The following is a 23,074-nucleotide window of genomic DNA, read 5'->3' as shown; positions in this document are numbered from 1 at the left end:
CTGGCAAGGATGTGAAGAAAGGGGAACCCTTGTAAACTGTTAGTGGGAATGTAAATTAGTGCAGTCACATACGAAACAGTATAAAACTATTTATAAGAACTAAAGCTTATGAAACTCCTTAAAGAACTAAAAATAAAGCTACCATATGTTCCAGCAGTCACACTGCTAGGTATATATCCAAAGAAAGGAAATCAGTATATCAAAGAGTTATCTGTACTCCCACGTTTATTGCAGTATTATTCACAATAGCCAAGATTTAGAATCCACTTAAGTGTCCATCAATAGGTGAATGGATAAAGAAAATTTAGTATGCATATGTACATTGGAATATTATTCAGCAATTAAAAAGAATGAAAACATGTCATTTGCAACAACATGGATTGAACTGGAGGACATCATGTTAAATGAAGCCAGGCACAGAAAGACAAATTTCACACGTCTTCATTCATTTGTGGGAGCTAAAAATTAAAACAACTGAACTCACTGGGATAAAGAATTGAATGATAATTACCAGAAACTGGGAAGGGTAGTGGAGACAAGGGGTCGGGGGAAAGTGGGAATGATCGATGGGTACAAAAATATAGTTAGGTAGAATGAATAAGATCTAGTATTTGACAGCATAACAACATTACTATAGTTGACAACTGTTTATTGTGTATTTCAAAATAACTAAAAGAGTAAAATTGGAAAGTCCCTAACACAAAGAAATGATAAATGCTTGAGGTGATGGATACCTTAACTACCCTTATGTGATTATTATACATTGCATGCCTGTATCAAAACAGCACATGTATCTCTTAAACATATACATCTATTATGTACGCGTAATAGTTAAAAGTTAAAAATAAAAAAAACTAAGAATTGAATTAATTAAATAGTAGATGTGCAACTTGAGGTCTTGTTTTTAGATCCAAGGTAGAACCTCACAAATTGATCTGCACTTAGTAAAGAACCCAACAAATATTTGTTGAATTAATTAAACTTTTAAAAGGATCTGCATTACATTGGCAAGGACTTCATGACTAAAACACCAAAAGCAATGGCAACAAAAGCCAAAATAGACAAACGGGATCTAATTAAATTAGAGAGCTTCTACATGGCAAAAAAACTACCATCAGAGTGAACAGGCAACCTACAGAATGGGAGAAAATTTTTGCAATCTACCCATCTGACAAAGGGCTAATATCCAGAATCTACGAAGAACTCAAACAAATGTAAAAGAAAAAAACGAACAACCCCATCAAAAAATGGCAAAGAATATGAACAGACACTTCTCAAAAGAAGACATTTATGCAGCCAACAAACACATGAAAAAAAAATGCTCATCATCACTAGTCATCAGAGAAATGCAAATCAGAACCACAATGAGATACCATCTCATGCCAGTTAGAATGACAATCATTAAAATGTGAGGAAACAACAGATGCTGGAGGGGATGTGGAGAAATAGGAATGCTTTGACATTGTTAGTGGGAGTGTAAATTAGTTCAACCATTGTGGAAGACAGCGTGGTGATTCTTCAAGGCTCTAAAACTCGAAACACCATTTGACTCAGCAATCCCACTACGGGGTATATACCTAAAGGATTATGAATCATGCTGCTATAAAGACACATGCACACGTATGTTTATTGTGGCACTATTCACAATAGCAAAGACTTGGAACCAACCCAAATGTCCATCAATGATAGACTGGATTAAGAAAATGTGGTACATATACACCATGTAATACTATGCAGCCATTAAAAAGGATGAGTTCATGTCCTTTGCAGGGACATGGATGAAGCTGGAAACCATCATTCTCAGCAAACTATCACAAGGATAGAAAGCCAAACACCGCATGTTCTCACTCATAGGTGGGAATTGAACAATGAGATCATTTGGACACACAGGGGGGAACATCACACAATGGGGCCTGTTGTGGGGTGGGGGGCTGGGGGAGGGATAGCAATAGGAGAAATACCTAATGTAAATGATGAGTTATTGGGTGCAGCAAGCCAACACGGCACATGTATACCTATGTAACAAACCTGCACGTTGTGTACATATACTCTAAAACTTAAAGTATAATAAAAAAAAGAAAAAGAAAAAAATGCAAAACCACGTCTGTGAACTTACATATCACCATCATGGGAACAACTTTTCATTAAAACTTTAAGGATACTGAACAAAAAAAGGACCTGCCTTAATTAAACTTAGCACAGAAAATTACTTATATTTCTTTGATTTCAGAAAATCCAGGAAGACTCAATCACCCCAAGTAATATTCTCGAGAAGATCAGTAATATTTGAAATGCTACTTCAGAAAATCACTTATTTATTCATCAAATCTAGATGCACTATTTATTAGGTACAAGTCACTCTGCTTGGTGCTGGGAATACAAAAAATAGTGGTTTACAGTCTGGTGCAGGGAGTCAGGTGTGCAAATAGCAATCACTTATTTTGTTGTATTTATTTTTTGACCAATGATCATCTGCCTTTTGTTTAGTGAATTCCTCTCCTCATCCTTCTTCTATTTCTTTCTTTATTTCCTAAGTATTGCTCATTTTGGACAACCGGTTAGTTTTGAAGAAGAGTTGGGAGAGGTATCAGAGAGGAAGGTGGGCTTGCGGTTTAAAAATTCAGACAGATTTCTCCAAGTGTTTTGTTATACTCTTCCATATTTTAGGGTAGCAGGAAGGTCCCCTGGGGGGCTCTGCGAAGTCCACTGTGTCACCCACATACGTGTTTTTCCAAATGTACACGCACAGGAGTGCTGAGATCTTTTCTTCTTTTCTAGCTGGTACAGGACTGCTTGCTATTTATATTTTATTTTCTATGCCGCCACTCTCACAGCAAAGGCAGTTTTCTATATATTTCCTCTTTCAGTTCCACCTTCCCGGCCACTTCTTTGTAATACAAAGGCATCAGGGAGGCTCCCAATGCCTGTCCACCCACTGGAATCTTGCTATTCTAGCAGGAGACCACTGTTTGCCCCTTAAGGTGTGATGCAACTAGAGCAAGCCCTGCCCTGAGCACTGTACCAGCGCTCTGCTCAGATCTCCTACAAGCAGTCAATGCCCTGGTCCAATTTTCATTGTACTTCAGAGCTCATCTTTGTATATTTCCATTCAGGGTTATGAGCTTTTGTTAATTTTACTGAAGGTGTAGTGGTCTTTTCTGTTCTTCCCCTTTCTGTTCTTCCCCTTGTTACTTTTGGATAGTTTCTAAGAAGAGAAAAGAAGAGTCAGAGACATTGGCTCAGCCTTCTTTTCCCAGAATTTTCTCAAAAGACTTAAAATGTAGTCTTAGTGAGAGGGAGGGAAAGACGGAATGCTGAAAATTGTTGGTGATAGGAAATTAAAGTTTAAGATTTAAGAGGTGAAGGAATTTGAGATGGTGACACGTTCTAATTTCATCTCCATTCTTTTTTTTTTTTTTTTTTTTTTTTTTTTTTGAGACGGAGTCTCGCTCTGTCGCCCAGGCTGGAGTGCAGTGGCGCGATCTCAGCTCACTGCAAGCTCCGCCTCCCGGGTTCACGCCACTCTCCTGCCTCAGCCTCTCGAGTAGCTGGGACTACAGGCGCCCGCCACCACGCCCGGCTAATTTCTTTTTGTATTTTTAGTAGAGATGGGGTTTCACCATGTTAGCCAGGATGGTCTCGATCTCCTGACCTGGTGGTCCACCTGCCTCAGCCTCCCAAAGTGCTGAGATTTCAGGCGTGAGCCACCGCGCCCGGCCTTCATCTCCGTTCTATCAGAGGTAGAATGGAGATGAAAAATAAAGGAGATGAAGAAGTGAGGAAGCTGAAGAGCAGGGATTTTTACTCCATCATTCAGGTAAAAATGGAAGGATAATTGCAGTAATTGGGATTGGAGGAAAGATTGCGGATTATATAACAAAGTTTTCAGATAATGTGCATTAACTGAAAGCTAAGTGGTGAAAGAATACAAATACAAGCATTATAATGCTGTGTTTAAGAGAGAAGCTGCAGCCCATGGCAGCTTAAGAGATAAATCATTGTATAACAGATGTAGTGAGAAAGTGCAGGCTTAGGGTGGCAATGTCTGCCTGCATCAGCAAGAGCTGGCTGGAATTTGAGAGGATAACAGATTACTGAAGATGCATCTCTGTGTTAGAAGAGATGGTTCCTGCTTTTGCTTGAGTCACAAGAGCGTCAGCAGAATCTGGGCTCACGCTTTTCTAGGTATTTTTTATGATACCCAGAAATTCTGCTAAAACCTGTGGGGGAATTTCTGATTTCATTAAATTTTCACTGTTGTATTTTTGCTGCTTCTTAATTAAGTAATAATAGAGTATGAAGAAAAATGCTATTAAAAAAAAGATTGTGGCTGTTTCCTCCTAATGGAATTGCTTAGTTTATCTCTGGGGTAGATGGTTCTTTTGTTAATAAAAGCACGGGGTAGGATTTGATATCATTTTTGCTTGAGAAATGTAAGGCTAAGGATGTAGTTTGGATGGAGTAGCTGGCAAGAAGACAGACAATATAAAGTTAGAGGTATTTGGAGTTACCATGAGTAAATGAGAAGATAGCATTAAAAAGAAAAGTCAAAATAGAGAGGAGGAGCTCCTTAAGAGCATGTCAGAAGGAAAAGACTTACGGACACATCTAGACAATGATGAACATGTCTGTGGCAGAGAAGTGATAACAAATATCTAGAAACAGCGATGACCTCTATTGAATTTGCAGTATTTCCTTCCTATTCAATACTTCCCCATCTGTTGCCATCAAGTTTCCACTGAACATTTTTTTTAAATTTAAAATAGGCTTGTGTTTCTTATAATTTGTGGAATTAAAAAAAAGATGTCGTTTTGGTTATGACCAGATGCAGCTCTGTATGGCAGAAAGCTTGAAAGAACGTGGCTTAAATATGATGGGAAGCTTATTTGTTTCTCACATAAAGAATTCCAGGGAAAAGCAGTCCATAGCAGGTATGGTGACTCCATGGTCAGTCATCAGGAACCCATGCTCCTTCTAGATCTCCACTCTGCCACCCTGAGGGCGAAGCTGTCATCCTTGTGGCTCCCCATGTAGTCACTCCCACAGAACTTCTCATCTGTATTTCAGGGGATAGTACAGAGAAATGGATGAAGAACATATTTTTTCTTTCCTAATGAGGCTTTCTGGAAGTTCCACAGAACACTTTCATTTATGCAGAACTTTACACACATCTTACTGGCCAGTACGTAGAGATAAAGAAAATTGGAAAACATAGACTTTCAGCTGACTGCAATTTGTGAAGGTCAAAATTAGGACTCTATTATTTTGAAAGATAAGTTAAGAATGTGAATTTGAAAGGTGACAATGTGCCTCTGTCACAGAAAGATGAAATCCAGTATGAAGGGACATGGTGGGCCAAATGGGAACTGTGGTTGGGTGAGCTGGACAGCAGCAGGAAACCAAGCTGTGAAGTGAACTGACAGAAAATCAGCCCCACTCCAGCCCTAACCCCTCAACCCCACCCTTGAGAATGTGCAGGAATTTATTGGAGGACAGTGGTACAATTGCTATAGGATGCACAGCAAGGGCTCAAGCCATTCTTCTTGAATATTCTATTTGATCTCAATAAGACTTACCTGTACCCAGGAGGCAGACATATGAATCATGGGCTAGGAAGTCCTCTTGTCCACTTCTTAGACTGTAACAGCTTAGATTTTACTTCACTCTCAGAACTCCTCTTTATACCCACCCATCCCACCTCGGATTTATACTTCTATATTCTGTCATCTGAAACATCTGTTTTGGTAAAAATATCTGATTAGGTACCTTTTAAAGTATTTCTAACAAACATCGTCTCTTTTTTATTAAACAAATATGTGTTATGTGAATTGAGAATTATTGCCAACACCTCGGCCAGTTATATAAGTGTTGATCTGTGAATCAAATTTCTGATTTTTATTGTTGATACCCTATTTTCAGGCTTTGCTTGGGCTATTCTGGATAAATATGAAGGGAGCATCAGGGTTTGTGTTAAGGTCTCTATATGGTTAAGGTTCCCAAAGGAAGGAGAAAAATACGTGCAAAAATTATCATCTCAGGCTCCTAAGCTGTGCTTCCAGAAAACAAAAGAAAAAAACTCTCTCTGAGGAGGAAAAAAGTCAAAAAACCTGTTTTTCAGTTTGGGCCATGACAATAAAAATTGGTGTACGTGGTGGGTTGCCAGTACAATATCGGTGCAAAAGTCCCTTAGGCCTACTTCCGCAAGACTTGTTTTGCAGTTTTGACAAAATGGCGGAAAAAGAGAGGGGTCCATAGATTTTTAATTTTATTACAATGAGATGTGTTTCAACTCTTTTGCAATAAAACGTGAGGGCCAGATTTTTTTTGACTGGCATAAATTGTAAATTAGTGGTACTATAACATTTAAAATTAAATAAATTTATTTATGGATATAATAGAAATCATGGTTAAAGGTAAATTTTGCTCAACAAAATCAGAAATTATCAAAACTTTTGGTTTTAGGAACCCCTTTATGCTCTGAAACTCTACTAAAGACATCAAAACAATTTATGTATTTATATTTACAATAATAGAAATTAATGTTTAAAAAATTTATATTAATTTATTTAAAAACCAATAATAATCCCATTACACACTAGCTTAAATAATATATTTTAATGAAGTGACTATATTTTTCAAATAAAAGTTTAGTGAGAAGAAAAGCAGTGTTTTACATTTTTGCAAATCTCCTTAATATTGGGTCTAATAGAGGACTGCTGGATTATTGTAACTGCTTCTACATCCAATCTTTTTTGATATGTTGCTCTGTTTGAAGTAAATGAAGAAACTCCAGTCTTGCATACATGTATGTAGTTTAAAATGGAGGAATATTTTAATAGCTTTTAAAGATAGCTGTGAATAGTCTTCTTTGGAACTACATCCAAACCTGGCTATAGTAGTTTCTTCAAGGTTAATTGTAATGTAGAATCTAAAACTATCTCAATAAACTTCTCATGACATTAAAATCCACTGGTCTATTGTGTGATGTGAATGTTGATTCTGTAATATGATGCATTGAACACTTAGAGAATATTGTTATGCTGAGTTATACAGGTCTTCCAAATGTTGATGAACTTCATTACACAATATCAAAAATTTCATTCATTAATATCACTACCAAAATTCATCAGGCAACTCTTTAAGTGTTGGAAAGCTGTCAAGCTAATGGAAGCTTTCACTTGAAGCTTAAATTGTGCTATTGGCAATAAATACTGTCAGTTGTTTTCCTTAAGTGACAGGCTCATTTTGTTCATTTTTGAGGAAATGTCTGCCAAATATCCAAGTCTGAATAACCACATTTATCTACAAGTTTTTCTTTTCAGTAAAAATTGTTTCACAAAATAGCAGCTAGTTCAGCTCATAACCTAATTGCACAATTTTTTTTTTTCTCACAACAATCATACTTCAGTATGCAACAGCAGGGCTTTATGTGTACTTTCCATTTTATCACACAGAATGTTGAAAAGATAAGTACTCAAGGGTCCAGATTTAATAACACTAATACTTTTTGCTGTTTCACCAAGGACTTTTTTTAAAATTTATTGTTTTATTTTTATTTTTTGGCAGAGTTTCGCTCTTGTTGCCCAGGCTGGAGTGCAATGGTGAGATCTCGGTTCACTGCAACCTCCACCTCGCGGGTTCAAGCGATTTGCCTACCTCAGCCTCCCGAGTAGCTGGGATTGCAGGTGCCTGCCACCACGCCTGGCTAATTTTTTTGTATTTTTAGCAGAGACAAGGTTTCGCCATATTGGCCAGGCTGGTCTCGAACTCCTGACCTCAGGTGATCTGCCTGCCTTGGCCTCCCAAAGTGCTGGGATTACAGGTATGAGCCACCACGCCCGGCCAAGGACATTCTTAAGTGAAAGTGGATGTATTGGCAGTGAGGAAAATAATAAAGAGATTAATATCAAACCACTATACAGTTGGTACCACTGCATTGATTCATCTTAAAATGTCAGCTGTTGGACTCATCATTGTTTTGCACATTCAGTGTAAATCTCAACACAGTGAAAACAACAAATAATCTTATTGTTAAAATGGCTCTGAGTTTGCTGACCCCCTGAAATTGTCTTGGGGGACTCCCAGGGGTCTGCAGATCACATTTTGAGAACTGCTAAGCTGAAGTGTTCAAAGGATGATTCCCCATAAACAGATACCATTGGATTTTAGTGTTCAGTTCTTTTTTCGAACTCCTTGAAAGTTAATCCAACACAAATTAATTTTTGTGTTCTTAATCGCAATCAAATAAATAGTTTACTGAGCAAACTTATTTTGGTAATTGAAAATGTCTACTAGTGACAGAAATAGTTGAATATTATGTCTTCCCTGCTAATCCTCTTCCTTGAAGAATATAAATTATGGAGCAGCAGAAAGTAGATGATACTCTCTGAGTTCTATCTTGAAAGATGATAGGTTAAGGAAAAAAACGCTGTTAATATATTATTTAAAATTATATCTGAATAGCTATCACATTTTCTTCAATGACTCGATCCCTTATTCTTTTTAAAATTTATTTCAATCATTCATTATAACTATTAAGCCTCATTATCCAGTAAGATAGATTATTTCGATGCAGTGAATATACATTACATATAGTAGGAATTTATTTTTTTTCTTCTAGTTATCTGTGTTTCCCTTTTACTAGCCACAGGGCGCAATTTTATCGGAGCGTCCATCGAGCTGTCTTTCAGCTTCCTTCATTCACCTTCTCTTCTCTCCTGGAAACTTCTCTTGCCATTCATTCTTCTTTGAGGTTGTCAGCTTCTTTCTGCCTCTTAGGTTTTCTCTCTCCTGAAGTGTGTTTGCAGAGCATACCCCAAACACCCAAGTCCTTTCCTGCCTAAGTGAAAATAAGCCTACAGACCTTTATTTACTTTTCGATATTAACTGAAAGTCTACATGGGAGATATGAAACATTACATAGTTATCTCACTGCATCTTTCTTCTCCCCTGTTGGAGCTGAGTTCTTCCTATTCCATATGTTTTCTCACCTCCTTGGGGTGCCATCACTTTCTCCCTTGCATTGCTGGTCTGTACTTCCTTTCTCGTTCATTATAGATTCTCATGGTCCAGCTCTTGAACTTTTTATTTTTTAAATCACATATTTATTCATCATTCTTTTTTTCCCATCTCCTATGGACTGAATGTTGAACTCCACTCCCAAATTCATATGTTGAACCCCTAATCCCCAGGGTGATGGTATTCGGAGATGCGGTCTTTGGGAGGTATTTAGGGTTAGATAACGTCATAAGGAGGGGGACCTCATGATGGGGTTAATGCCCTTATAGAAAGAAAGATCAGAGAGCTTTCTCTTCCTCTCTCTTAGCCATCTGAGGACACAGCAAGAAGGTGGCTCTCTGTAACCTAAGGAGAGAGCCTTCCCCCAAAAGTAACCATGCCAGCAGGCTGATTGCAGACTTTCAGCCTTCAGAACTGTGAGAAATAAATACCTGTTGTTTAATCCACCAAGTTTGTGGTATTTTGTTATGGCAGCCTGGGCTGACGGAGACATCGTCTATCTGGAAAATGCTCTTCCAATCTGTCAGTTCGACTTCTTACTTTTCCCATGTCCACACTTGATCGAGCTGCTGAGCAAATCTCACATTTCCAAATGACCGGTGATACAATCTATTTCTACTCATCTTCAGCACTATCTAGCAGCCCTTGTAATTAGAATGTAGTTAGAATGGGAGAAATTAGTGGCTATTTTGATCCTTTTCTACTCTCTTCATACTTGTCTCTGTTTCCTGGTCCATTCTCAGAGCAGAGAACGGCTTCTGTCTTATTGGAGGAACTGTAAGTAAACATATGGTGTGGAGAATCTGGACTGTTATCTTTGACTCTGTCACATTCTGACTGTGCGATGTTGGAAAAAGTATCTTCTCTGAAGTATTTTTTTCATCTGCAAACTGGGGAGGTATCAGTGTCAATGTCACAGGAAGTTCCGAGTATTAGATAAACTAATCACACTGGGAAGTAAAATATAATCAATTATTATTGATTGCTACGTTTGTTCATATTAAAAAATTGAAACCCTTTTAGGGGAATTCTCTCAAATTCTTGCCACTGCACCTTTAAATTTATCTATATTTATGTTTATTTTTTAACTTTCTCTTTCCATTATAGTGCAATAAGAGTCCTTCCTCAACTTAAACACTCATTCTGCAGCAGTGCTATGCCTTCACGAGGTATTTACTCTGTTAGTTTTACCCACTGCCTCCTCTCTTATTCATCTTCTTCCTCAACTGGAGCCTTCCCCTTAACCTTTAAACCTGTACAGGGTGGCTAATATTTTAATGTAAAGGTATTTGTTTCCAACTCTCATTGCTCTATCTTGTTCTTTTTCTTAGAACCACCAATCCTCCTTCATCTGGCTAATGGCTCATCACTAAAGATTCTGTTTAGATGTCACTTTATCGAGAAATACTTCTCTAATTACTGCAATTCTGCCTAGATGCCTTTCTACTGCGTGCGGTTCCTTAGAAAACTGCTCCTTCTTGTTAAAGCATGTATCATGCTGGAATTGCCTCATTGCTTGCTGGTGTCTCCAAAAATATTGCAAACTCTTTCAGGGTAAGGAACCTGTATTTATCTCATTTACTATCATATATTCAATACCGTGCACAGTGCTTGGGATTTACTAGGCATTCAATAACCATTTATTAACTGCATAAAGAGAAACAGGTAAAGCTTATGAAACACAAGGAAGTTGAAAATGTTGGGGATATTTAAATATCATTATTTTGACTACTTGCTAACTTACATATTATCCTGGAGCTCTGTTAGAATTTGTAAGATATATTATAAAAGTTAGCAAAATAGAGACCTGGTGGTAGAGAGGCCTAATGCTAATCCTATGTCAAATATAATTTGAGCAATTAAATGGTCAGTGCAATTTTATACTTGCTGAATTGCTTCTGCGTTTCTATCTGCAGTCAGACTTATTTCATCCAACGTAATAATGGTGAAAGGATTTGTGCAAAGACATTTCTTCTTATTTCCAAATAATCCACAATAATATGTTTAAATTCCCCATATTCCAAATACAACTCACCTTACTTATAAAGGGATTTTGGGATGTTCTGAGTATGATGCAGAATATATTGATGATGTTAAAAATGTTGGACCATTGAAAGAGGCAATAAGCCAAACTGTCCCACTCCTTTTGTTTTGTCATGAAAATGGGAAGAGCTTCTGACAGGGAGCATCTTGAAGAACACAGTGTACTACTTTGACTCAGAAGATTTTATGAAAGCTGTGCTCTCTGAGTTAAATTATATTGCCTGACTCCTAGGACACAGAGGATACCCTGTGACCAGTAAACTGTTTTAACATTTTTTCAGTCATGGTCTCTGCTTCCTTTTTGAAATTATACCAGTCACAAAAAGCCATGATGACTATCATAAAAAAAAAGTGGTGGGCTGATAGTTATATGTAGCCACAAACAAATAGCTCTCCCTGTTTTTATACATAGGGCCAGACCTTAATTATTACAACTTTCCATCATATAAATCTTAGCAACCTCAATGTTAAGGAAAGTTTTTCTTCCAGGGAAGAAGTATTGACATAGCCATTAGAGGGGAAAAAAGAGAAATGCTATAGCTTGATCAGGACCCATGAAATGCTCTCTTACTCAAGTGAGTCATTTGCAATTCAGTGATCCACATTCTGGTTTCATCCTAATCTTCTTCTCCGCCAGATACTCTGATAATATCACCTGTCTATCCTCCTACATGCAGGTCTTTTCTCCCCCTCCTCTTGAGAATAAGGGGAAAGAAAGAGAGATGTAAGTCTCCTTATTTGCTGTTTGTGGGAAAGTTGCAGAGGCACAACAGATAAAAAATGAAGAGGCTGGACCGATGACCATTGTCTTAGTGTACTTCCTTACAGTTCTCTGTCCTGACTTAATAATAAAATCATGGGAATGTTATTTTTAATATTATCCTATTTATGACAATCTAGACACATGCATATAATATCTATCAACATATAAAATTCTTGACATTTAGAGATGATCAAGAGTTTTACTGAAAAAGATCCTGAATATATTGAACATTTTTCTTGTAAGGAAACACAGATCAGAATAATTTTATACAGGGATCACTACGATGAGAAATTGCTTGGGGAAAGAAAAAGAGATACAGAAATAACTGGCAGTAAAGTCAAAGCACATGAAAGAACGAATAAAATCAAGACCTTTTGTATAATTTCAATCATCTTACACTTTTCTTTGAATTTTCTTCTTGGTTTGATTTTACTAAAATGACTATCAATGAATGGCCATGCCAATATTAACAGTGAATGAACTAAGCATAAATAATCAATTTAATTGCTGTCTTCCCATCACTCACCATGGACACATATTCATTTGGAATAAAATCAGGGCCAAACTAACTGAGATTTAATGCGATTTCTATATTTAACACCCCCCACTACAACAAATACATACAGAAAATCCTGAGAATATATTTATTCTCTGCTAGAAGAGGGCAGAGAAAAATCCACCATCTTTTTATCATGAAAACTTTACTGATGAGTTCCGCAAACAGTTTTGAGGGCCTAAGATGTGATAATGGAGTGCAAATTTTTTACAGATGCCTCAATTAGTTTTTTGACTGTGCTTTGGATTTATCATCTCTGTGGCTAGACAAGATAGAAATTTAATTGTTCCCATGTATTCACCAATTTTGCTCTCTATTTAGTTGGGCAAATGTTGTGTTGAACAATCCAGAGAACATATACTTTCCAAAGGGTCTCTAAGCACAGTTTGTTCACAGTCAGTGATGCACTTTAGCCAGCAAGTGTTTAATTTCTAACTTAATAAAATTACCAAAATGTGGATCTTAAAATAGAGAAGTATTTAAGAAATGTCTCTTTGGGGAGTGATTGCTATCAACCGCACGTAAAGCACAATTGGATATTGCAATAGTACTTACTGTAAAAGAGCATCTGTTCCTGGGCCTATTAATCCTCTTGCTTATAAAAACCGTCCACCCCTGAGTGCAAAGAGGAGAGTGGGGGTGGCAGAGCTCACTGCTGGAATCCTCAGGTGGGGAGGGCGCGGGCCATTGAGAGCATCCCTTAAAGCCACTTTAAGGCACTAAAGTCCAGCATCTGTTTGTTAATATTGTGTTTTCACTCTGCTAGGCCATGTCCAGTTTATTCAATCTAATGTAGATAATGAACATGAAATCTTTAGGGTGGCTAAGGACATTTCCTAATGAATATAGGAACCTTAGAAGGGGAAATGATGATAATGGATGGAGCAGTGTTCTTTGAATCACTAGACTAAATAAATTGGACATGACATAATAGCTTCCTGTTTTTGCCAGAGACTCACTCTGGCTCCTTAGAGAGAAATTCAATCATTTCTGTTTCGGTCAACTCTTTATCAGCTGTTAAACTATTTGATGAATAGCTCCAGCGAATATCCCGGGGCCTGGAATTTTTATGAATAGCTTAAGGTGCTTGTCTATATAACAGAAGAATTTAGAATGTTTTGGCTAAGCATATTTTCCTTGCCAAATCTTGTATCCAAAATTAATTGTAATCAACTGATGTGCCTAATTGGTGTCTTTTGAGAGTTGCATTCATTTTCATTTTTATATTGCAGTGGACTAATAACAATGAAAACACGTTGGGGGTGAAGAACACCACCAGTTTCCACAAAGCTGAATCATCCTCTTTTAAGTAGATGATGCTTTTAAAAAATGAGAATATAATCTTCTGAAGTTCAAATTAGGTTCCCATTTAAATAACAGTAAAATAATAAGTAGTACTTATACAGTGCTTATTATCTGCTGAAGTTCTAAATGCTTTACATATGCTAATTCATTTAATTTTCCACAAAAACTCTAGTCACAAAAACTCTATGAGGTAGATAAAATTAGTATCTCTGTTTTACAGATGAGGAAACAGATCCAGAGAGGTTTAGAAACATATCCAAGATCACAGAGCTATCAGGTAGTGAAGTTATGATTTGAATTATAAAGCTTATGCTTTTTAACACTACGTTAGTACTTCCTCTCAAAAATTTATAATACCAGTTAGGATTATTTAGTGTTGCTGATTTACTGTCTGGTAGCAGAAAGGATAAGTTGGAAAATATTAATGTCATTACTAAATAGAGGAATTAGCACTGAAATCCAGTGATATTTAACCCTGTTGATCACTTCCAATTAAAGATGTTTAATGCACATGACCTTATGCTTTTTTGAGGCTGCAAGGAACAGAGATAGGTTTGGTTACAGTGTGCAGTGAGGATTTTGATGAAGGAAGAACAAGAAATAGACTGAAAAGCTACAGAGGCCCTACATTGAGAATGTAGGTGTAATTCTGTAGTCGCACCTTGAGAGCAGTGGAACTTTGTTCAGCATTCAGCATTACTCTGGTAATAACCTGGTTATCTTGTGTTGCCTCTAGGAGGATGAGCCCATCATGCTCTTCTCTTGAGCTCTGCTAGTTAATGCCTTTGTCTTTGTTTTAACTGCTTTTCCTTCTGCTGCTGCTAGCTGACTCTGTATTTATTTGTTTCATATTCAAACTCCCTGAGAGAGAGTATTTGTTTTAGTTGAATTGTCACCATCCAGTCTAGGGGCATTTCTTATGAACAGAATCCTGTGACAATCCCCTGCAGATGGCTGCCTTAGGGTCCAACATCCACTCCTGCGTCAGACAGTTGCAGCCAAAATTGACAACCTATGCCTTAGAAATTCCTGGGGCCAATTCCCTCAGAAGAGAGCCAAGGGCAGTTAGACATTCAGCATATTACGTCGAAACTGTGCTTACATATATTTTCCCCCAAATTACATAAATGCTAACCAGCCTAATAGCTTTTCTCAGTTAAGCTTGATATCAATTATAGTTAATAAAGTTCCTCTTTAAAATAAATGAAAGTAGTGTTTTCTAAACACATAATTCAGGTAAAATTATTAGCTAAGTATTAAATCTGAAGAAATATTCTACAGTTTGTATGAATGTAAATCTACACAGCCAGCTTCCTAATCCTCACACTTATTTTCTTACAAAGATTTAAGAACAGAGAGCAGATGTGTCTCTCATTGAAGAACTAGAAGTTTAATGTTGAAGTAAATTCTTTCACATAAGCCTTAAATTATTCAATTCTGTTACTATTGGCTTCCTTTTATTTGGTTGTTAAAAAAAAGAAAGAATTACTCTGAAATTCTAGGGCACTACATGTCTTTCAAATTTTAAAGATTGCCAGCTCAAGTAATAAGATACATTAAACAGAAAGGATTCAGTCCCTGCGGATGTTTATGTGTCCTCCTACGTGTGTTATTCCCTTGACTTAGTGATGGCACTTCCTGATGGATTATTCACCTAAGCTTCTCTCACTAGCAGGCATCTTGTATCCGCCCGTATTTTTGTGACAGTTTCATATGGCAGACCTCCGAACTGACCCTCATGTAGTAAGGAAAATGATCAGTTGGGAAAAGAGGAGAAAATGAAAATGGGAATAAAAATGAGTTGTGGTTAGCTGGAGTTTTCTCAGAAAACTGAGATACCCAGGTCAGAATTTTTTTTAAAAAACTTTCTTTTGTTAAAATTTGATATGTTTTGAAGTAACAGGTCTTCATTGATTTACTTCTTCTTTATTCTTTACTTGATAGACAGATTCCAAACTCAATATGCCACTTCTTTTTTGTTACAAAGCATTTTATTTTTATGTTTGCCATTAAAAAATGTCTTCAGTACACTTTACCTGAATGCAGAATTGTGTTGTGCATATTTTCCCCCTGCTGATCTCTGGCAATGTGTTGTGAATTGTCTATTGTACTAAATTCTGGCTGAACTTTGGTTCAAAGTAGCTTAGAGACAGCTCTGTGCTGCTCATTAGTGGAGATGTTTTTAAGCCCATGGTGGCAGGTAACGGATAGGCTCGTGAAATATTTATAAGAAATAGAATAAACTGGATTAGGAGTTGGGAGTGCACCACTAAATTGAACCACAAGTTGAGGTGAGTCGCTTAACCCCTTTACCCTCAATGTCTTCATTGGTAAAAGGGATAGATTCGTATTTGTCCTCAGAGGTGGTTGTGAGTTTGAAACATTAGTACCAGCTGTTGGGGACATGATGCCATTTCTGGACCATTTGAAAATACTGTTTTTATTAGTTGAATATAATTCCCTAAGAAAACTCTATTAGCTGAATAATGCATTGTTGGGAGAGAAATAGTCCAGTAAAACAGCTAACGTAGAGAGAATTTATCTTGAATTTAGCCGTGATACCACAGAATATTAGACTTTTATAGACAGAAAGGACTTTTGTAACTGAGTATATGCAGATTTTTATCTTAGATGCTATGGAGTTTTCATGTAGTTTCCTCAGAGACCCCAGGGATGTTATGGAAGAAAGGAGGTTGGATGTTTTCCTTCTCCATTTTTAAAAATGGAATTCAACATTTTTTCACCAATTCTGTGTCTCCAAAAGATTTCAAATGAAGTATTTTGCCAAAAAATATGTGAAGATCACTAATCATAGATCATGAATCATATTCAACATCCTCATTTACAGAATAAACTGATCTCCAAATCTGTCCCTAAATTATGCCAGTCTGTCATTTTAATTGACAAAAGAACTGTAGAATTTTTTTAAAATTTGCTTAAGATCCTAGAGTGGTGGTTTTCAACCTTGGCTGCACATTGGAATCACCTTGAGAGATTAAAAAAAAAAATCTCAATGCCCAGGTGGCTTCCAGGCCAATTATATCAAGTCTCCACAGATGATTCCAACGTGCAGCCAAAGTTGGAAACCACTGGCTTGGCAGGAGGGAGAGGTGACTTTGACTTAAGTTGGTAGGGAAGTGTTTATGGAGAAAGTAGTTTCTGAGTAGGATTTGAAAGATGGGCTGAATTTTGATAAGAAAAAACTTAGAAGCATTTAAAGTGATATAATAATACCGGTTTCAGAGACTAAAGAGTAGTTAATACAGAGGGAGAGCGAATCAGAAGTATAGGATGACATTACAAATCAGAAATAAATTTAAATTTCAAATTCTGGCCCTATCATCTACTACCTGCATAAAGGTGGCCAAGTTACCTCATCTCTAAATCTTTTTATTTCCATCTATAAAATGAGAAATAAAAGCACCCACTGATAAGGTTTAATAAAGGTCAAATGAAAAAATTCATAGAAAGCACTTCCATCAATGTCAGGTAATAGAAAGTGCTCAATACATGGCTAATACCAAAACATTTTTACCAGCTGAGTATCATTGAAAGTTAAGGAGAGCCACTAATGGAATTAAAGCATTTAGGGCCAGATTGTGGGAGCCTTGAATGCCGAGATAAGCAGATTTTTCTTTTCCCTTTTCTTTTCTCTGTCATTGAAGCCTATTTTTGAGCACAAGGCCAAAGCAACCAAAGGAATATATTGAGATCTGTCCAATGGCAGTGTGCAGGAATGATGGAAGAGAGCAGAAAGTGGAGGCTGGGAAACCAGCTAGGGAAGGTGTACAGTAGCCTAGGAATGGGCTCCTGAGTTATAACAGTTGAAATCTATGAGGAAAATTTGTAGATGAGATATTGTTCAAGAAAATTCAAGTAGAAGACAGTAACTGGCAGTAGGGAAATCTGAATGAAAGAAAAAAGTTAGTGACTTTAATATAGAAATAGTGACAGAGAAGCCAAAACCTAGTTCAGACGAAGAGATAAGGAGTTCATTATAGACCTTTTAAGTCTGAGGTTGGGGCAGAACTGTTAAAAACATGGGGAGCAGAGAGTGGAAATGTCATGTGAACATCAGGGGAAGGGTCAGGCATGACAAGAGAGTTTGGTATCACTCGCCCTCATAGGCATTATGATGGGACGAGAGTAAAATCCCATAGGAGGATTGGAAAATCAGAGGAACACAAAAATCGTTCATATTTCACAGGTGGCTCAAAATTTGCCTTTTACGACTCTCCTTTTCATTCGCTTTTCCCCTTTCCTGCCATTTAATATCTTCTCTTAATCACTCTTCCAAAACCTATTTATTGTTTCAGTCCCTCTGGAATGACACTCGCTATTTCTAATTTTCTTCTATACAGCTGAGATTTTGCGTATTCTATTCCTCGTGACTGAAATGTTCTACTCTTCTTCTCTTGGGCTATTCTTCTAGGTCCTTCAAAACTGAGGTAATATTTTTTTCATCCTCTCTATAGCCTTCTCTAATTTTACCAGTAATATTTTTTTTATTAACACTTTGTGTGTATAAGTTACATAAGTGAAAGTGTGATTTCATGTTTAGTTTGTTGTCTCTCCAACTAGATAGTAAGTTACCCCTAATATGTTAATTGATTTATAATCACAGATGTTTGACAGACTTATTGAATAAATGAATGAGTATTTCCCTCATATCTGTGTCAGTACTCATGCTCTAAGCCTCCAGGGTGTCATCTGAAAATGCATGAAAATGTTTTGTTTTCTAATAAAGGCTGATAAATCCTGCTGGTATTTGACACATAAGACCCAGGAATGCTAAATATTCTGCAATGTATAAGACACTGCTTCACAGTGAATAATTATTTCTTTCTAAATGTCAAAAATGGATGACTGGGAATGCTGATCTAAGGAGTGCTAAGTAGCCACTACCAAGTAAGGCAACTGAAGTGGGCAAAGTCTTCCTCAATTGACAGCATAGTCTGGTATGTCCCTACTTGAGAGGCAGAAACAGGTGTGTGGTAGTTTTTAAGTACTCTGGGCAAGAGAGAAAAACACTGGGGGTAGGGAGTGATAAAGGAATTTTAAATGAGTTCTGCTCTTGATACTATCATTAAATGACACCAGTATGCTCTTTTTTACTCTAAAATGACAATTATACAATTTGATTAAACATTGGAAAAGATGGTACTGCAGATCTCAAAATAATCAACTGCTTGTTTAAATTCTTAGCCTCTTGACAGTTGCAAGAAGAGGCAGTCAATATAATTTTTTAACATCCTCAGGATAGTGAAAGTCCTCAAGAAGTGTTTTCTAATTAAAATTGTTTTGATTCCTTCTGAAATATAATTATTTAATGTATTTGTGTTGTAACAAAATTATATTGAATCAATGTCAGATGATCCCAAGAGCCAAAGAAAAATGAAAGAAAAAATGTTTTCTGTTTCATGAATTGTCTTAATTTGGATAGAATCATAGGATTATTCCATGGAATTTCATTGTCTTTTCACAGAGTTGTTTACCCAGTACCCCGTCAGACCTGCATATTTACTAAGTGGCTTTCTATGGGGCTATTTCCTATCCATTCATTATGCATCTTCCCAAGTTCAAGGCAAAGGTTTTTCCCCACTCTGAAGTCATTTAGTAAAAACACAGTATGAGCCAAAACAGCCTGTTTCTAAGAAGTCTATTATATGGTATCTCACAGAAAGACGGAACTGCTCTCAAGAGCACTATGAGAAGTGGGATATGCAGTCAGTGGTCCACTCTTGTGTGCCATAGGATTTCTGACGTGTGAGTGCAGAGAAATGATCTACCTCCTAACAGTGCTGAACCATTGTTGCTGTGGCACTCTGGAAAATTCAGTGAGAAAAATAATTCATTGTATAGCCTTTTTCCAGGAACTGCTTCTAAAGCTTTCTCAAACAGATGATATCATTCAGCTGGTCACCAAAAGGTGACTTTTTTAAAAAAAAATCTGCTACAAAGATGATAAAATACAGATATGTTCTCACTTCTAGAAAGGGTAATGTAACAATATATTGTGTCTGTATCTCAGCCCTAGGCCTGTCTTCAAAATACATACCAGAAATTAAGCCCCTTAAAAATGTCCACTTATTATTTGTTTTGTAAACCTAGTGGCGAATGATATTTCCGATCCCAATATAATGTTTAAGAAATAGTTGTTGAACAGATGCTGGGGTATAGTATTTTTTAAATTTTATTTTACTTTAAGTTCTGGGATACCTGCGCAGAACGTGTAGGTTTGTTACACAGGTATATGTGTGCTATGGTGGTTTGCTGCACCTATTTGACCCATTCTCTAGGTTTCCTCCCCTCGCCCCCACTCCCCAACAGGCCCAGTGTGTGTTATTCCCATCACTGTGTCCCTGTTCAACTCCCACTTATGTGTCATTGTTCAACTCCCATTTATGAGTGAGAACATGCGGTGTTTTGTTTTATGCTTCTGTGTTAGTTTGTTGAGAATGATGGCTTCCAGCTTCATCCATGTCCCTGAAAAGAACATGATCTCATTCCTTTTTATGTCTGCATAGTATTCCATGGTGTACATGTGCCACATTTTCTTAATCCAGTCTATCATTGATGGGCATTTGGGTTGGTTCCAAGTCTTTGCCATTGTAAATAGTGCTGCAATAAACATACGTGTGCATGTGTCTTTATAGTATAATGATTTATAATCCTCTGGGTATATACCCAGTAATGGGATTGCTGGGTCAAATGTTATTTCTGGTTCTAGATCCTTGAGGAATTGCCACACTGTCTTCCACAATGGTTGAACTAATTTACATTCCCACCAACAGTGTAAAAGTGTTTCTTCTTCTCCACAGCCTCACCAGCATCCATTATTTCTTGGCTTTTTAATAATCACCATTCTGACTGGCGTGAGATGGTACTTCACTGTGGTTTTGATTTGCATTTCTCTAATGATCAGTGATGTTGAGCTTTTTTTCATGTTTGATGGCTGCACACATGTCTTCTTTCGAGACGTGTCTGTTCATATCCTCTGCCCACTTTTTGATGAGGTTATTTTTTTCTTGTAATTTTTTTTAAGTTCCTTGTAGATTCTGGATATAGTATTTTTAAAGTTTTCTACAGCAAATTAAAAAAATATTTACCGGGACAGTGTCATATGAAAAGAAACCACAAGGTGGCGCCAGAGTACCTAAAGTTACTGTACTGTTTTATTCTCTTCTAAGAAAACGATAGGGTAATGTTCTTTTAAAGGATATTTTTAGATTTTCATGTAAATGACTTAAAAACAGGATTAAAAATTTAAATTTCAAATATTTTCTGGGTCTGGGTACTATTTTGCTGTCAAATGTGAGAGCACACCTGGTAAGCATTTTAAACGACTAAACTGAGGAGCAAATCAGAAAGGGAGGGCCGAAGAAGGGATGTGTGATCATAGCATTCCAGAGGCTGATGAAAATGTGACTACTTTGCTCTAAACAACACAAAATCCATATATGTATCTATTGACGTGTGTATATGTATGTATATACAGACAACCATTTATTGTGTATATTGATTTTATAAATATATTTACGCATATTATGGATGTGTGTCATGTATAAAACATATAGTAGTATCTGTAATATATGTCATATGTAATGTTATCTATATATCATATAGCACACACACACATGAACCCACACAAAGCAGTAGATTATTTTCTTCAGAGAAACCTTGCTGGGTTATTCTGTGTCTCCACGCCTTTCCTGGAATTGCTCCCTGTCGCACATTCCTGTTCAGAGGCCACTCAAAAATTCCTTCCTTACTAAAGCACTTCCTGATGCCTGCCCAGGTAAAACCTGTTACTTGCTCTATAGTTTGTGCCCCATTGTTTCCTTACACAGTTTTATATCAGCATCTATGCCTTTTCAGTGGACATATTTATTTTCTAACCTGCCATATTTTATTTAATTGTACATCCTTTGAGGAAAGAACTGTATCTTGTTTGCTTTTGCCTCTGAGAGCCTGGCACATAATGGGAATCTAAGAAATGCTTCATGAATGAATGTCAGGCATTTCATACTGACAGAGGAGAATGAAAAAAAAAAGCCACACAGAACACAGAATGTACTTTAAATAATGGTCCCAAAGTGAGCATTTTCTAGTTAATATTGTTATCAATCACATTTGATCAATAACAGTGAGTATAAATTCATCATTAACTTGCTAATATCACGAATGTGAATATTATCATGAAATGATTACTATTCTTCCTATTTCTTGGGGTGTGGAGTAAAATAATTTTAATAGATTAGAGAGATAAACATTATCTTAACCACTTTGCATATTAACATTAACTTGTACTTGCAAAACTCTCCATCTCCTCACTCACCGCATCTATAAACTGAACCAAATAAAATTAGACTCAACACTGATCTTTCCATACGCTGGTTGGCACTCCCTCATCAGCTAGAAGTTTAAGTTTTAAGTTTTTTAAACCCCCTGTTTACAAACCTTCTGCTTATTTCCAAATAATGCTGCAATGCTAACATCTGAGCCAACAAGACTTACTTTTCAAGAACCAAATGCTCAGCTAAATAAAGACACAGTATCTTGGAGTTATGTGGGTTAATGAACACTTTTGTGAGTAGTTTAGTTTCTTCGAAGGAAAAATGTTTCAGATAAATAAATTTGTATTGTATAAAATTGGAATAATATTTTCAATGGCAACATTGTAACAAACAGTGTTTAAATTTCCATTGTAAAGCTGGAAAATGGAATTGACTGAGATCTCATTTCTGCTACATATCAATATGCTAAAATAACCCATACACACACTCACACCTGCACACACTTTCTATCTCCACTAATTAAGATCTTAAATGAGTTGAGATTAAAGACAGGTAATGATAATGCATTCTGACCAAACACAAAGTCTCCCATGATGTTCACTGGACAAACTGAGAGGCAGCATAGAATCTGGGCACTGCAGCTCTAACTGCCATTTTCATGGACTTTTTCATGTTTTCTGACTTAAAAAATGAGCTATTTAACATTGAAAGTCTAGAAGAGATATGAACATTTTCTGTGTCTTCAAAGGTGATCTTTATTCTTCCCAGGAATATGAGAAAAACTGTTTCTCCTTCACAATCTATGTAGATTTTGTAGAAAGATATTTAAAAAATATAGATAGTAGAATCCTAAATCTATGCATATAAACCATTGCTCTAAACATGCACAATGCTAACTGCCACACATTTATTCTTTGCAGAAACAATCCCATGCATACTCTCCTCTCTGTATCTCTCCTTTATTTCCTCTCCCATCCAGGAACATACATACATATTTTGGTTATTTCTTCCATACTTTATGTACTCTTTTAAAATCCAGTTTTCTGTGCATGAGTCATGTATCACTTTGATGAATCATTTCCACAAACCTTT

This window comes from Homo sapiens, chromosome 1 (genome assembly GCF_000001405.40).
Source record: "Homo sapiens chromosome 1, GRCh38.p14 Primary Assembly".
Taxonomy (NCBI): Eukaryota; Metazoa; Chordata; class Mammalia; order Primates; family Hominidae; genus Homo; species Homo sapiens.
Note: the sequence above shows the minus strand (reverse complement) of the source record.